Source organism: Homo sapiens, chromosome 13 (assembly GCF_000001405.40).
Source record: "Homo sapiens chromosome 13, GRCh38.p14 Primary Assembly".
Classification (NCBI taxonomy): domain Eukaryota; kingdom Metazoa; phylum Chordata; class Mammalia; order Primates; family Hominidae; genus Homo; species Homo sapiens.
Window position 1 is genome coordinate 27,730,525 of NC_000013.11, and position 16,610 is coordinate 27,747,134.

The following is a 16,610-nucleotide window of genomic DNA, read 5'->3' on the forward strand; positions in this document are numbered from 1 at the left end:
AAGTTTTCTTCTGGACACATTGAGGAATGGCGGCATTTCAAAGCCCTGTCTTTTTCTCATGAGTGTTTTTATGGCAAAAGTAGTCACAAACAGTTCTCATTTAAAGTGTGTGAAGTGTGGGGGCAAGTAAGGAGGAGAAATTATCAATAAAAACCCAAAAAAGTGCCCTTCAACCAGAAGACAACTTCAGCCTGCTGTTCCTCTCTCTCACTTTTACTCTTAAGCATTCTCCCATTTCCATTTTGTCCAGTTAAAAAGAAATGGAAAACTGCCAGCACTTTGAGAGGCCGAGGCAGGTGGATCTCTTGAGGCCAGGAGTGCGAGACCAGCCTGGGAAACATGGTGAAACTCTGTCTCTACTAAAAAAATACAAAAATTAGCTGGGCATGGTAGTGGGCACCTGTAATCCCAGCTACTTGGGAGGCTGAGGCAGGAGAATTGCTTGAACCCGGGAGGCAGAGGTTGCAGTGAGCCGAGATCGTGCCATTGCACTCTAGCCTGGGCAACAGAGTGAGACTCTGCCTAAAAAAAAGAATAGGAAAACCATCCATCCACTTCAATGCAGAAGGAGCAAAAATCAAACTATTGATACCACTTAACACTTACTAGATACCACAGTTCTGATGACTTTTTAAAAATAATTCTATCAACACCATCAGCCAGTCGGGGAGATGCCAGGCCTAGCGAGATGTGGTTGAGGAGCCTGAACCCAGTAGATATGAAGTGCCCGAGAAAGGCAGAATCCAGTGAACACTTTGTGACTCTATATTGAACTGAGAAGATGCAGAAAGCCCATCGAGCAAATATATGTGTAGAACTCTAAAAACTCCAGGGACAGAGTTCTTGAAAGTCATGAATAAATATCTCTCTGCCAGGAAAGTTCATTTCTAATTGTTGCTAGCTACTATTACAATATAATAATATAGCACAATTGTTGAGGGTAAGATTGCTATACTCATTTTATAAATGAGGAAATTGAAACTCAAAGATCAAGGAACTTCCCAAGTTCACACAGCAAATAGATAGCAGAATAGAACCTGGATCTGTGTGATCACAAAGTCCACACACTGAGGAGAACTTTATGTAAGTTCCTTCCAATGACCAGATCCTGAGTGATATAAAAGCACACATGAAATTAAGTATTGATATGTGCTTATTGGGGATTACTGCTATGAGATACAAGATATTTTCCTAAGGCTATCTTTTTTTGTTGTTTTTTCTTTTTTTTTTTTAATTGTACTTTAAGTTCTAGGGTACATGTGCACAATGGGCAGGTTTGTTACATAGGTATACATGTGTCATGTTGGTTTGCTGCACCCATCAACTTGTCATTTACATTAGGTATTTCTCCTAATGCTATCCCTCCCCCAGCGCCAGAAAGGCCCCGGTGTGTGATGTTCCCTCCCCTGTGTCCACGTGTTCTCATTGTTCAATTCCCACCTACGAGTGAGAACATGTGGCGTTTGGTTTTCTATCCTTGTGATAGTTTGCTGAGAATGATGATTTCCAGCTTCATCCATGTCCCTGCAAAGGACATGAATTCATCCTTTTTATGGCTGCATAGTATTCCATGGTGTATATGTGCCACATTTTCTTAATCCAGTCTATCACTGAGGGACATTTGGGTTCCAAGTCTTTGCTGTTGTGAATAGTGCTGCAATAAACATATGTGTGCATGTGTCTTTATAGTAGCATGATTTATAATCCTTTGGGTATATACCCAGTAATGCAATTGCTGGGTCTAATGGTATTTCTAGTTCTAGATCCTTGAGGAATTGCCACACTGTCTTCCACAATGGTTGAACTAATTTATACTCCCAACAGTGTAAAAAAAGTGTTCCTATTTCTCCACATCCTCTCCAGCATCTGTCGTTTCCTGACTTTTTAATGATCACCATTCTAACTGGCGTGAGATGGTATTTCATTGTGGTTTTGATTTGCATTTCTCTGATGACCAGTGATGGTGAGCATTTTTTCATGTGTCTGTTGGCTGCATAAATGTCTTCTTTTGAGAAGTGTCTGTTCATATCCTTTGCCCACTTTTTGATGGGGTTGTTTGTTTTTTTCTTGTAAATTTGTTTATGTTCTTTGTAGATTCTGGATACTAGCCCTTTGTCAGATGGGTAGATTGCAAAAATTTTCTCCCATTCTGTAGGTTGCCTTTTCACTCTGATGGTAGTTTCTTTTGCTCTGCAGAAGCTCTTTAGTTTAATTAGATCCCATTTGTCTATTTTGGCTTTTGTTGCCATTGCTTTTGGTGTTTTAGTCATGAAGTCCTTGCCCATGCCTATGTCCTGAATGGTATTGACCTAAGGCTATCTTTTAAAATAGAATAAAAACACAGTTCTTGAGAAAGATTTATTTTATTTATTTACAGAGACAGAGTCTCACTATGTCACCCAGGCTGGAGTGCAGTGGCGCCATCACAGCTCACTGCAGCCTTGAACTCCTGGGGTCAAGCGATCCTCCTATCTTAGCCTCCTGAGTAGCTGGGACTACAGTGATGCACCACCATGCCTGGCTGATTTTTATTTCATATTTTGTATTTTTTGTAGACACGGAGTCTTGCTGTGTTGCCCAGACTGGTCTCGAACTCCTGAGCTCAAATGATCCTCCCACCTCAGCCTCCCAAAGTGCTAGGATTATAGGCATGAACTGCTGCACCCAGCCAGGAAAGATTTAAATAGGACAAGTCTAGAAGGTAGACCAAGAAAGTGAACGATTGCCTCTATCCTCACCCTCACAGAAATCATACAAACATATTATACTCTTGCTAGATGGTGTTCCCAGGGTGTGCTCCCCAAGGCTGGGATGAGAAGTGGTAAGGTGAGCCAGGATGGGTGTGATCATAGGTCCCATCCCATGTCCCCTTGCCCTGTGTCCCCTCTCTGCTGACCTAGGGATTGTGGTCCCTTTTACCCCTGCTAAGACAAAACCTACATTGTTGTTATCTTTGATAATTAACATTCTAAGAAGTTACTGCTTTTCTTTCTATTTTTTTTCACAGAACATAATTTTTCATGGAATAGAGATTTGAGTTCAGTATCTAAGTTTTGGGGATGGAGAAACTAGAACTCAGTGAACTTTGAGTTTTAGTTTATTGCCCCCGTAGAAGGCATATGGCCTTATGTTAAAAAGGCCATTCTTTCCTTCCTTGGGTGAACTAAAATGTTAAGAGAATCTTTAGATTTGTTACAATTAAAAAAATTATTAATTCAAGAAGCCCAAGGGCCGGGATGATTCCTCTTCAGTTCTAGAGGTTGGAGTCGCCACTCAGGACCAAGAGATTGAGACCTCCATTTTGGTGGGCCCTGAGGGTAGGGCCACCCTGGCTGGCCCAGAGGACAGAGCATCAGCCAAAGAGAATTATTCTCAAACCTTAAAATTTAATGGAATTTGCTGCCGGGTGCAGTGGCTCATGCCTGTAATCCCAACACTTTGGGAGGCCAAGGTGGGAGGATTGCTTGAGCCCAGGAATTTGAGACCAACCTGGGCAACATAGCAAGACCCTGTCTCTACAAACAATAAAAAAAAAATTAGTGGGGTGTGGTGGCTCATGCCTGTAGTCCCAACTACTCGGGAGGCTGAAGTGGGAGGACCACCTGAGCCCAGGAGAGTTCAAGTTTGCAGTGAGCTATGATGACACTACTGCACTCAAGCTGGGATGACTGAGTGAGACTCTGTCTCAAAAAAAAAAAAAAAAAAAAAATCAAATGAAATTTGTTCTGCTAGATTTTAGATTTGTTTGGGCCTCATAACTCCCTCTTTTTTTCTGATTTCTTCCCTTTGGAATGGACACGCCTATCCTAAACCTATCCCACTATTATATTTTGAAAGCAAACAACTTGTCTAGTTTCACAGGTTCACAGCTGGAGAACAATTTTACTCAGATGAATCATACCTCACCCATATCTGCTTTTTTTTGGAGACAGAATTTCACTCTTGTCGCCCAGGCTGGAGTGCAATGACACTATCTCAGCTCACTGAAACCTCTACCTCCCAGGTTCAAGCGATTCTCCTGCCTCAGCCTCCCAAGTAGCTAGGATTACAGGTGCCCACCACCAGGCCCAGCTAATTTTTTGTATTTTTAGTAGAGACAGGGTTTTGCCATGTTGGGCAGGCTGGTCTCAAACCCCTGACCTCAGGTGATCCGCCCGCCCCAGCCTCCCAAACTGCTGGGATTACAGGCGTCAGCCACTGTGCCTGGCCCCATATCTGCTTTAGATGATGTTTAGATGAGATTTTGAACTTAGAGTTGGTGCGGGAATGAGTTGACTTTTGAGGCTCTTGGGATGGGATGGGTGTATTCTGAATGTGAAAAGGACATGAATTTGGGGGTAAAATGTTACAGGCTGAAATGTGTTCCCTCCAAATTCAGATGCTGAAGTCCTACCCCCAGAATAATTGCCTTCAAATGTGAGTATATTTGTAGATAGAATCTTTAAAGACGTGATTAAGTTAAAATTAGGTCATTAGGGTGGGCACTGATTCAATATGACAGGTGTCCTTATAAGAAGAGGAAATGGGGCCAGGTGCAGTGGCTCACGCCTGTAATCCCAGCACTCTGGGAGGCCGAGGCTGGCGGATCACGAGGTCAGGAGATCGAGACCATCCTGGCTAACATGGTGAAACCCCATCTCTACTAAAAATACAAAAAATTAGCTGGGCGTGGTGGCGGGCGCCTGTAGTCCCAGCTACTCAGGAGGCTGAGGCAGGAGAATGGCATGGACCCAGGAGGCGGAGCTTGCAGTGAGCCAAGATCATGCCACTGCACTCCAGCCTGGGTGACAGAGCGAGACTCCGTCTCAAAAAAAAAAAAAAAAAAAAAAAAAGAGGAAATGGGCTAGGCACGGTAGCTCATGCCTGTAATCCCAGCACTTTGGGAGGCCGAGACGGGCAGATCACCTGAGGTCAGGAGTTCGAGACCAGCCAGGCCAACATGGTGAAACCCCCTCTCTACTAAAAATACAAATATTAGCCAGGCGTGGGGGCAGCTGCTTGTAATCCCAGCTACTCGGGAGGCTGAGGCAGGAGAGTCGCTTGAACCCGGGAGGCAGAGGTTACAGTGAGCTGAGATAGTGCCATTTCACTCCAGCCTGGGTGACAGAGCTAGACTCTGTCTCAAAAAATAAATAAGTAAATAAAAAATAACAAAGAAGAGGAAATTTGGACACACATGCACAGAGGGAAAACTGTGTGAAGACACAGGAAGAAGATGACCATGTAAGTCAAAGAGAGATGCCTCAGAAGACACCAATTCTGCCAACACCTTGATGTAGGACTTCTGACCTCCAGAAGTGTGAGAAAATTAATTTCTGTGGTTTAAGCCACTCACTCTGTGGTACTTTGGTGTGGCAGCTCTAGAAACCTAATACGCTCTGGTTCCGACATTGCAGGCCAACATCAGTTTTTTGTTATGTTCATTGCTCTGGCTGCCATAAACCATTGCACTCATATTGAGGACCTAGAAACCCTAAGAACTTTTTACCTGATGTGCTCAAGTTGTATATGAGAAAGTTTGTCTGGCCTTTGTCCCTTTTGGTCCTTCATTATCCAATATATTTTCTGAGTACCCAGTGTGTATTAGGTTATGAGCAATATAGTAATAAACATGACAGTTCAGGTCTTTGTCTTTGAAGAGTTACCATTCCAATGGGGGAAACTTTTAATAAACAAATAATATGGTGTCAAATTATGATCATCGTATGAAAAAGACAAAGCAGGGAGCTCTAGGTTATTATGATAGATTTAACACATGCATCCAATTTAGTCCCTCTAGAAACACCACTAAAACCAAAGGAAAGAGATTTTTTTCTAATCCAGGAGAACAGGAGAGGAACAAAAGCAATATTTAGAATTGTAAATCCAAGAGACAAATAGTAACAAATGTTGTAAAACTAAGCAAGCTGAATCCCAAATCCAGCTCAATTTCTGTCACAAAACCCTCAAAAGGCACAAGGACTGGGAGCACCAGGTGTCTCTGAAACCAGGGGTAAAGGAGAAGAACTAAAACAAGAAGGACAGCTGAAACCATCTGAGAAGAAGTTCTACCCCAAGACCGGCACACACACCCATTCCACTCCACTGGGCATCTGCCCTCCTCTATGAGGAAAGAAGACTGGAGGTTTGCTCTCTTCAGAGGACCTCTGGCAATGAGGACATATGACAGTGCCATTCTGAGAACAGGAGGATTAGGTGGTTAGTGCTAGTGGAGCAGGAGCTGAAACTGCCCCTGCTCCCCTCCCAACTTCACCCTCACCAGTTGTTTTCTCCCATCCAGTTCCCAGAACACCAGCAGCCAGATCCTTGCCCCCCAAGCAGGAGACTAAGAAACCTTAAAGCCGAAGAGGATAAAACAAAGATAGGGACATTGGATGTTCCTCAAGACCCCTCAAGGCCTGGGAAGGACAACAAGCTTTAAAAGAACTCTAAATCATTAACAGACATCAAAGGTTAATAGATAGCTGAGAACTCAAACAAACAGGAAAGTCACCTGGCATAAAACAGAAATCAAGAAGTGAGAGGATTCCTTAAAAAAAAATAACAAAGCAAAAACATTATCATTAACATTCTTAGAAAGGTGAGCAAAGACCTTATATCAATAAAACAAGCACAGACACTAAGGGAACAAATGAAAGGAACAAAAAAGAGCTCCTGGAAATTAAAAACATGATAGCAGAAATGAAAACTTCAATAAATGGCTGCAAGATTGAGCTGAGGAAATAGTTCAAAAAGTAGAAAAAAAAGATAAAAGATATTGAAAATAGAAGTAGAGTACAACTCCAGGTTGCTCAACTCCTGAATAATAGGAGTTCCAGAAAAAGAGAGCAGAGATAATACAGGGGAGGAAATAATCAATGAAATATTGTAACAAAATTTCCTGGAATTGATGGACATGAATTTACAGAATAAAAAGATTCACAAAGTGCCTGGTACAATTGATTCATTCATTCAATCAATATATAGTAAGTGCCTACCATGTGTCAGGTAGTATTTTAGACTCTAAGGATAAAAGAGTAAACAAAGCAACTGAAAAAAAAAGTCCAGGAAAGTTTTAATGACAGATTGGGCAGGGAGAAGGCAGAGAAAGAAGTAAAAGGAGGTTAGATTCTGGCTATAATCTGAGGGTAGGGCCAATAGGATTCACTGATAAATTAGATGTGGAGCATCAAAGAGAGGAGTTAATGATGACTTAGAGATAACTCCAAGAAAAAACTAGAAAAGAAGGAGTTGTTATTTCATAGAGAGAAAACTCAGATGCAAGTTTTTCGGTGGGTAGTGAGAGGGATTTGGAACTTGGTTTGGGGCGAATCAAATTTGAGATGTTTATTATGCATCTAGGTAGAAATATCACTAGGCAGTTTTATGTATGAGTCTGGAGTACAAGGGAGAAGTCCAGGCTAGAGATAAAAATTTAGGAATCATGCCTTTCCATGCTCTGCTGCTGCCTGGATCAGTCAAGGACATTCATTCCAATATATGGAAGTATTCTGCTTTGATCTGCCTTTTTTTTTCAGTTCTAAAGAAAAAGTAATCTCAGCATGTTTTAGAATGTATAGATAACACTCAACCTATACATTCATAATTTGAAAAGAATTGCTTGTATTTTTTCCTATTCAGTGACACCATGTCTTACTGTTTGCTCATATCAGTATTTGTATCTCTCAATAAAGATTTATAATTTATTATTTTCTGTATAAATCCTTCATATTTCTCATTAAATTATTCGTAGGTTCTGTGTTGTGTGTGTGTGTGTGTGTATGTGTGTGTGTGTGTGTGTTGGGGAAGAGGTTGTTTCTAACATAAAGAGATTTGGTTCTCATTGTATCCTCTAATTGATTATTTCTTGGTATAAAAATGCTATTCTTTTTTTTATATTTATCTTATATCCTGCCACCTAGGTAAATTATTTTATAAATTTTGATGGTTTTTCAGTTCTTGCATTTTCTAAGTGGAAATTACATTACCTACACATAATAAGTTTTCTTCTCCTTTCTAATACAGTTGACCCTTGAACAACATGGATTTGAACTGCATGGGTCCAATTATATTCAGATTTTTTTCAGTAAGAATTACATCAAGTGTGCCAGCCTCTCCTGCCTCCCCTTCCACCTCCTCCACCTCTTTGGCCTATGCCACTCCTGAGAGAGCAAGACTAACCCCTCCTCTTCCTCCTCCTCAGCTTATTCAACATGAAGATGATGAGAATGAGGACTTTGTGATGATCTTCCGCTTAATAAATGGTAAATATATTTTCTCTTTCTTATGATTGTCTTAATATTTTCTTTTATCTAGCTACCTTATTAAAAGAATATAGCATATAATACTTAAAACATACAAAAAAAAGTGTTAATCAACTCTGTGGGCTGTTGGTAGGGCTTCCCGTCAACAGTAGGCTATTGGTAAAGCTCTGGGGGAGTCAAAAGTTAAACACCACATGTTCTCACTCATATATAGCAACTTTAAAAGTTGATCTTAGAGAAGTAAAAAGTAAAATGGTCTTAAGATACCAGAGGCTGGGAACGGTTGGGGGAAGGGAAGGGTGGGAAGAGATGTGTTAAAAGATACAAAATTACAGCTAGATAGGAAGAATAACTTCTAGTGTTCTATAGCACTGTAGGGAGTCTATAGTTAACAATAATATATTGTATAGTTTCAAGTAGCTAGAAGGAGGATATTGAATGTTCCTAACACAAAGAAATAATAAATGTTGGAAATGATGAATATGCTAATTACCCTGATCTGATCACCACACATTATATGCACAGAAACATCACTATATATCTCATGAATATGTGAAACTACTAATTGTCAATTTTTTAAAATTATACATGAATTTTCTGCTGCATGGGGGCGTGAGCACTCCTAACTCCTGTGTTGTTCAAGGGTCAACTATATATATTAGGTTCAGTTCTGACTCTGAAATCATTGCTTTCCACTACACCATTCTCCTTCTTTCTTCCATATCCTTTTTGTAATATCTTCAGAACAATACATGTGTTGTGCCATGCAACCTTGTTTGATACATGAGAAAAAAAGGGTCTGGCCACAAAAGTTAAGTGATATATGTCGGTTAGGTGCCAATGCATACAAGTAAACCAAAACCTCCAAGCTGACAATACGAATTAAGAGGACCAATAGCCCCTATTGATGACCTCATGAGAGGCTCCAACCAACCAGATTAGTTTTATTGGTTAAATGGTATAGGAAACATTCATAATAATTGGTTATGGGAAAAATTCTTTTGTTTTATGGGTAATAATAGGTATAACACAAATTAAAGTGCTAAAAGAACATTTGGGAGAAATTCAAAATATGTCTATTATTCTTTTTTCAAGATCTTTGATTCTTCCCTCCTATGATCCTTGATTCTTTATTTTTTTGTGTTACAGATCAGCGGAGCATCACTGGCTGTGTGGGGCTCCCTCCAGTAAGTAGGTCTAGGACCTTAGCCGCATCTGCTGCTCATCCCACATCTTGACAAAAGTACACAAGAACCTCTAGTGCTTCCATGTCTCCAAATGCCATCTCCATTACACTTCAAAATGCACCCCCAACCTAGGATGATTGGGCTGTCCTTCTTAGCTGATAAAAACAGCAGAAAAACTTGATTTGTTTTCTTTATTTCTGTCAACTATTGCTATCAGGTAATATGCAGTATGTTTAACCCTCTGAAACATGAAACCCCTGTAAGTAAGTAATCCAGGACACACACCTCCTGTAGCACTGTGTCCTACTCAGTCTTAGTCCAGCTAAATGTGGAAGTGTATGCACATTTGGATCTTTCTAGACATTTTCTGTAAGTACCATAAGAGAAGCATAAGGCATCCCCATTTGATTGTTAGAAGGCTAGCTGGTTTGCAAGAAAGGGACAGAACTTGGAAGAGGCTAGGGCCAGTCCTTGTGAGGCCACCACCAGCATCATCTCTGCCAGATCATGACACGCCACTGCAGCTGTGCCACTTCATCCATCCCTTACACAGCCTCCTCAAGGAGTTCTCCTGGCACAGCACATACCCTGCTTACTGCAGAGCATGTGAGGCCCTTGGCCAAGCACAGCGACTCACACCTGTAATCCCAGCACTTTGGGAGGCCAAGGTGGGCGGATCACCTGAGGTCAGGAATTCGAGACAAGCCTGGGCAACATGGTGAAACCCCGTCTCTACTAAAAATACAAAAATTAGCCAGGCATGGTGGTGTGTGCCTGTAATCCAGCTATTCAGGAGGTTGAGACAGGAGAATCGCTGGAATCCAGGAGATGGAGGTTGCAGTGAGCCGAGATCATGCCACTGCACTCCAGCACTCCAGCCTGGGCAATAGAGCAAGACTCCATCTCAAAAAAACAAAAAACAAAACAAAAAAACCTGTGAGACCCATGCTCCGGGGGACTGGCCTTGCCAGGTCTTGAACTTACAGGTAGAACAAGTGGTAACCACAGAAAGACTTGATCCTATTTTAATAACCTGATTCTCATCTCTTACGACCACAAAGTATGCTTATCCTTCTACGTCGATGTCCGCATTGGTCTGGGACCCTGACTACTCCTAGGGAAGAGGAATCAGACTGCCCTTCTAAGTGGTATCTATACTTTCAAGGACAAGGGTGCCTTGTATGAAAGACCAAGGGTCATTTCTTATCTTTCCTTATGCAAGCAGTTGGTTTTGCAGGACCAGCCATGGTTCCCTGGAGACCCGGCCCAACTTCTGGTACAAAGTAGAGAACTGGACAAACATGTTTTGCTGGGCCCTGCAGCTTTCACTGAGAGACACACAGTTTTGGGGATGGGGCTTGGCCACTGTCAATCACTTAAGGCCCGTAGATGTTGCCTCAGTGTGGTGGCATCTGCCACCAAGGCCAGATCTAGGGATCTAGTTGCTAACTCAGCAGCAGCCTTCTGTTTTTCTACAAGCCTATAGAAATGTTTTGGTTTCTTTTCCTCCTCCTCCTTCTCCAGAATTGGCTTTATTAACAGCAAGAATTCAAGCAGTCTCCCTGGTCTCTCATGCAGTTCAATCCCCGACAGCCTTTCCTGTAAATGCCACCTGCTGTCACATGCTCCATCCGGGCCTTTGTTGTCAGGCTCACTTCTTTCTACATCTTCCTCCATTGACTTCAGCAGCTCCTTCATGCATGCCACAGTTTTTTCTGAAGTCTTTGGATGCATTTTCATAATGACAACATCAAAGTTCCTGCTTCTCTCTGTGTTACCAAATACTTTGTTGGAGTTGTTGATCTGACTTGGGACTTTGTAACATTCACTGAGGCAGACATGTATTTTAGCCATAGTTCAAATCCTCCTCTCTGGGAGCTGGCCTTGCACCTCTGGAAAAGAACCACATGTTTTGATCACAGTGGCTTCCACCAAGAGCTGGGGACCACTGACAAATGGCTGGCCCTTCCCCCCCAATTCTAAAGGCCTCTGCCAGAGCTCCAGAAGCCGGGCGGAGCCTGCCAACAACCATTATCAGCCTGTCCGAGTAGACCCTATCTTCTTATTTGAAAAAAAACCCCACTTTCTTTAGAAAAGTTAGATATGTGAAGATGCTGGTCTACAGGGTCCTTTTGAAAACATCTAACATCTTCTATGGGACGTTTCCACAGTTCACCACCTGAAACACTTGGACCACACATGTTTGCACATCCTGGACTTTCTGTCTGATACATCTAGGACTGAACAATGGGTTCTCCCAGAAGTTCCAGAGGGAATTCCTACAATTCTCGCTTCAAGATGGCGCTCCAGCTGCATCACCTGCAGGCCTGGGCTAGGATATGTCTTGACTCTCCTTATGACACTGTCTTGGTGGCTCACTTGGGTGAGTGTGGGGCCAATCCAAGGGAAGTTGCGGGGAAGCTCAAAAAGGTAACTCAGTTTTTCTTGGGAGAAGAGAGATTCTGAGCAGATTGGAACGTACCATCAACAGTGCCTTCTTCCTCCTGAGCTGATATCTGAATGAGTCCCTATTCACAGGAAGACCCTGGCCCACCTTGATGTCCCACTCAACTGTAATCCATTGGTCCTTTTTGGGCAATGACTGAGTCCTCTCCTGACCAAGGAAAGGAATGCATCTCAAGCCTCTCCCCATCAGGCCTTCATTAGCCCCATCCCCTACACCCACTGACTCTGCTCCCACTCCCGCCACTGTATCGCCCAGCGTTGCTTCCTGCAGGAAACCCTGCTGAGGAGTCTAGTGGAGGCAGAGATGCCCTGTGTTGAACACTCCACCATGCATTATGTCATTTTCTCCACACAACAGCCCTGAGAGGAAGGAAGTGTTATTCCCATTTTATAGAAGAGAAAACTGATGCTCAAACAGGTTAAATAATTTCTCAACTATTGACTGAAGAGCATGGGATACAAGTTCTAGGCCATTGTCGGCAAAGTCTGTATGCTTCACAGCTTGGCTGTGGGATGTGCTCCTCTGCCTTCAGGAGCCAACCCATCACCTTGGCCAACCCTTTGACCAGTGCAAACACTGCATCTTTGTCAGCCTCCTCTGCTAGCACAGCCACCCGGCCACCTCTATAACCAATGCCAACAGCTCTTGCAAGAGCAGGAAAGACTCTCCTTAGACCAGAGTGTCCCATCCTCAGCACTATTGGCATTTTGAACCTGATAACTCTTTGTGGTGATGAGGTGTTGTCCTGTGCAGTATAGGATGTTTAACAGCATCCCTAGCCTCTAGTTGTTCTCTGGTTGAGAACAACTGCCCTAGGGTACTCATCCTGTCAGCTCTCTCTGCTTTTGAGCCAAAGTTCCTGAGAAAGAAAGGTCTCTGATGCAAAGCCTGTCCCCACTATAGCACTTTGAAACACTACTCTTGCTGGGACAGGCACCTAACCAGGCTCCCTCTCACCATCTGTCTTAGTCCAGTCCAGCTGCTATAACCATATCCATGCTGGATAGATGATACATGACAGAAATTTATTTGCACACAATTCCGGAGCCTGGATGTACAAGATCAGGGTGTCAGGATGCTCGAGTTCTGGTGAGGGCTCTCTTGCAGGTTGCAGATGGCTGTCTTCTTGCTGGGTCTTCACATGGCAGAAAGAGCATGAAGGAGCTCTCTGCAGTCCCTTTTCTAAGGGCACTAATCTCATTCATGAGAGTTCCACCCTCATAACCTAATCACCTCCCAAAGGCCCCACCTTCTAATACCATCATCTTGGATATTAGGATTTCAACACATGAATTTCGGTGGACACAGACTTTAAGTTCATTGCACCGTCACTGTCCTGGTGCTCCCTGATGTACAGCCCCTTCTTGGGGAACTCAGATGGCCCCAAGTGGAATTAGTTTAATCATTGGTCAGGCTCCCTTTCAACAGAGTGTGTCCCTGAATGCTCCATGCCCCCATTTTCAACATTCATCTTTACCCTCTGATACAGTTTGGATCTGTCTCCCTGCCCAAATCTCATGTGGAATTGTAATCCCCAGTGTTAGAGGTGGGGCCTGGTGGGAGGTGACTGGATCGTGGGGGCGGATTTCCCCCTTTCATGGGAAATTCATATGAATTTCCCAATTCATATATTCTTATGATAGAGTTCTCACGAGATCTAGTTGTTTAAAAGTGTGTGGCACCTTTGCCATCTCTCTCTTCCCCTTCTCCAGCCATGTAAGATGTGCCTGTTTCCCCTTCACCTTCTGCCATGATTGTAAGTTTTCTGAGGCCTCCCCAGAAGCCTAGCGGATGGCCAGCATTATGCTTCCTGTACAGCCTGCAGAACTGTGGGCCAATTAAACCCCTTTTCTTTATAAATTAGCCAGTCTCAGGTATTTCTTTATAGCCATTCGAGAACAGCCTAATACGCCCTCCCTTTCATGACCCCAGAGCCTGCACTCCCAAATCCTATGCCATCCAAGGGTGATGACCACCTGGATAAGAATGAGCCCTTCACTGGAAAGGACTGTGTAGAAACGAAGCCTGTACTCCCCAACAAGTCCAAACCTGCCAGATTCAGGCAACTACCCATGGAAATGCCAAGTAGGGCACCTCTGTGGCCAATCATTCTGGCCCGTTGGAGAGGAGGAACCGCGTGGGCAATCCATCATCAGCTGATGGTGGTGCCGGCTGCTGGCTCCCCATGCCTAGGCTGGTCTCCACTAACATCATTTAGTTTTTAGATTTTCCCAATTAAGAAAGGTTCCCACCAGCAACAGCAAAAATCCTCACCACCTCTTTCATTATCTCAGCTTTTCTTCCCCTTAATTACTATTGAGCTCCTGGCTGATTAAATTAGTTTTTGAGGTCCTTTCTGAAATCTTGGGGAAATTATCTAAAAATCATGAAATCAATTCCCTTACGCTGTTTTAATCCTTTATGCCCTAGGCTCAAAGAGGGATGGGCAGACAAGTGCAGGCCCTCTGAGAAGTGTGCAGCTCTACACTGCTTGCCAGCCTTCTAGGGCCTTTGTGGACCATCTGGGTCAATTTCCTTCCAAGTAAATGAAATGCAAATAAAAATTCCAGCAGTTTTTCAGCTGCCGGCTGCCCAGCTGATTAGCATGACAGAGGCTGGGAGATGAGGCCTGACCCGGTGCACTTCCCCTCATCTCATTAAGTTGTAACTCCACCGCGGCTGCATTCATGGTGTTTATTGACGCTGAAAGGCGTCTTTATCCAAAACTAGCTAAATTCACATTCAGAGTTTTTACTTGGAAGTCTTGCCTGCTCCAGCATCCACATGAAAGTGAACCTATTGTGGCTGGCTCATGTGTCCTGCTGATTCTGAAACAATCTGGAGGTTTCTCAAAAATGTTTATTTCACAAGTTTGTATCCTTCCATCCTGCTCCCCCAGCCTCAAAATGCACAGGGACACTCAGTGCAGGAAGAGGTAGGGGTGAGCGTGGGAGGAATTCCTAAAGTCAAGTTCTTAACAGATGTGGGAAAGCGAGGGTCTGGGAGAAGGATTTTGGCCTGGATGATTCTGAGATCTGTAGGTACAGTGAAACCTGCCACAGCTCATGGGGCCCTGCCAAGCTTTCTCACCTGGGTACTGGCTTCTCAGAGACCTCTGGCCAGGCACACAGCCCCACCAATGGCTGTTCCCCCTGGATTGATTTTCCTTCTTTATAACGCATTTAAAGGGCAGTTTCCCGTATCTGCCTCCATTAACCATGCATGAACATATAGCATCACGGTAGCCTTGATTTGCTGTTGGGGTCCTCACTGCTTTGTGGCTTTGCACCAGGGCCTGTTTGCAGGCTGGGGAATGATTTTGCTCGCGATTGAGGCTGGGAGGTCCCAGGACTGTGCGGCTCTTCTCTCATTTTCATCTAACAGAATGCTTCATGGGAGAGAAGAGGTATTTATCTTTGGAAATTGAGAATGAGGGGAAAGGAGACAAAATTCAAGAGGAGGAAGTCACTACTATTTGTGATTCTCTGGTTGCCCCCAAAAGGAAACATCATGATCAAAATTCAATCTCTCTGACCCACTTGGGATTACAGCTGGGAAGAGAGCTTCGAAATCAAACTTAATGAATAAACTGGTTGATGAGTGACTTTTTTTTTTTTTTTTTTTTTTGAGACAGAGTCTCGCCCTGTCGCCCAGGTTGGAGTTCACTGGCGCGATCTCGGCTCACTGCAAGCTCTGCCTTCCGGGTTCACGCCATTCTCCTGCCTCAGCCTCCTGAGTAGCTGGGACTACAGGTGCCCGTCACCATGCCCGGCTAATTTTTTTTGTATTTTTAGTAGAGACGGGGTTTCACCGTGTTAGCCAGGACGGTCTCGATCTCCTGACCTCGTGATCCGCCCGCCTCAGCCTCCCAAAGTGCTAGGATTACAGGCGTGAGCCACCGCGCCCAGCCGATGAGTGACTTTTTAATATGCAAGTAAAGCTGGATGCTTTTGATAGGTCCTGGTTAGTATTTAGCCAACAGGGTATGCATGGATTCGCATGTGGGAAAAGGGTTGCTATCCTTCAAAATGCATGCCTGAGATCTTCAGCCATTCAGAAGACATTTTTTAAACCAGTAAACAGCGTTGGGCCTGTTATAAAGGTTTACCAATCTGCAAAACTATCTTAACCGTTTGCCCATAGGATCTGTGCTAAGGATGATAATAGTTAACATTTTTGTTAAAATCATTTTCTATACTAGGTTTTCTTTTAGGGCTGGTTTCTGCTCAGGGCCTAATTCAGTAGGTTGGCCACTTTGTGGTTTGGCTCAGATTTTCCTGGCTGTTGATAAAAAGATTTTGTTTTCTCTTTGGTTGGCCAACAGGAAGGGGTGGGCGCATCAAAGGCTGAGAGTGACCGACCATCCATAGGCACAGTGTGGAGGATCGTCAGCTTGCTCAGCGTGCTTAGCTACAAATGAACAGCACATCCCAGAAGGCTTATAACTCTACAGGAGCAAAAAAGAGCACAGGGTGTGATCTTGGTAAGAGAAGAGGGCTAGCCCAAGGTATCCAGGCCATCTTCTCATGGCCTGCAATGCAGGACTCTTGGTCTAAGGGTTAACCCTGTGTCTGATGTGTGATTGCAAAAATTATGATAGGGGTAGGTAATCCAAGTGAGCTTGCCTGGCTGTTTGTCTGAGTGGATGCCGCCTTCCAGAAAGAAACTAGCCAGTACCTATAACATTAAAGGTACCATGTTATAATGGTGCCA

At 43.6% G+C, this 16,610-nt stretch overlaps 1 long non-coding RNA gene across 1 annotated transcript, besides 1 other annotated feature; it reads left to right on the forward strand.

The window, feature by feature from the left end:
* Positions 1-8,179: 8,179 nt before the first annotated feature.
* LOC105370129 (uncharacterized) lies at positions 8,180-9,611 on the forward strand. The gene is made up of 2 exons (XR_941786.2): positions 8,180-8,243; positions 9,393-9,611. It is a non-coding gene; the product is annotated as an uncharacterized LOC105370129 (long non-coding RNA).
* Positions 13,918-15,473: an enhancer, noted in NCBI's record as "VISTA enhancer hs1568". NCBI's record gives its function as "enhancer in: hindbrain (rhombencephalon)[4/5] | forebrain[3/5]" and the evidence as "EXISTENCE:transgenic organism evidence [ECO:0001131][PMID:17130149]".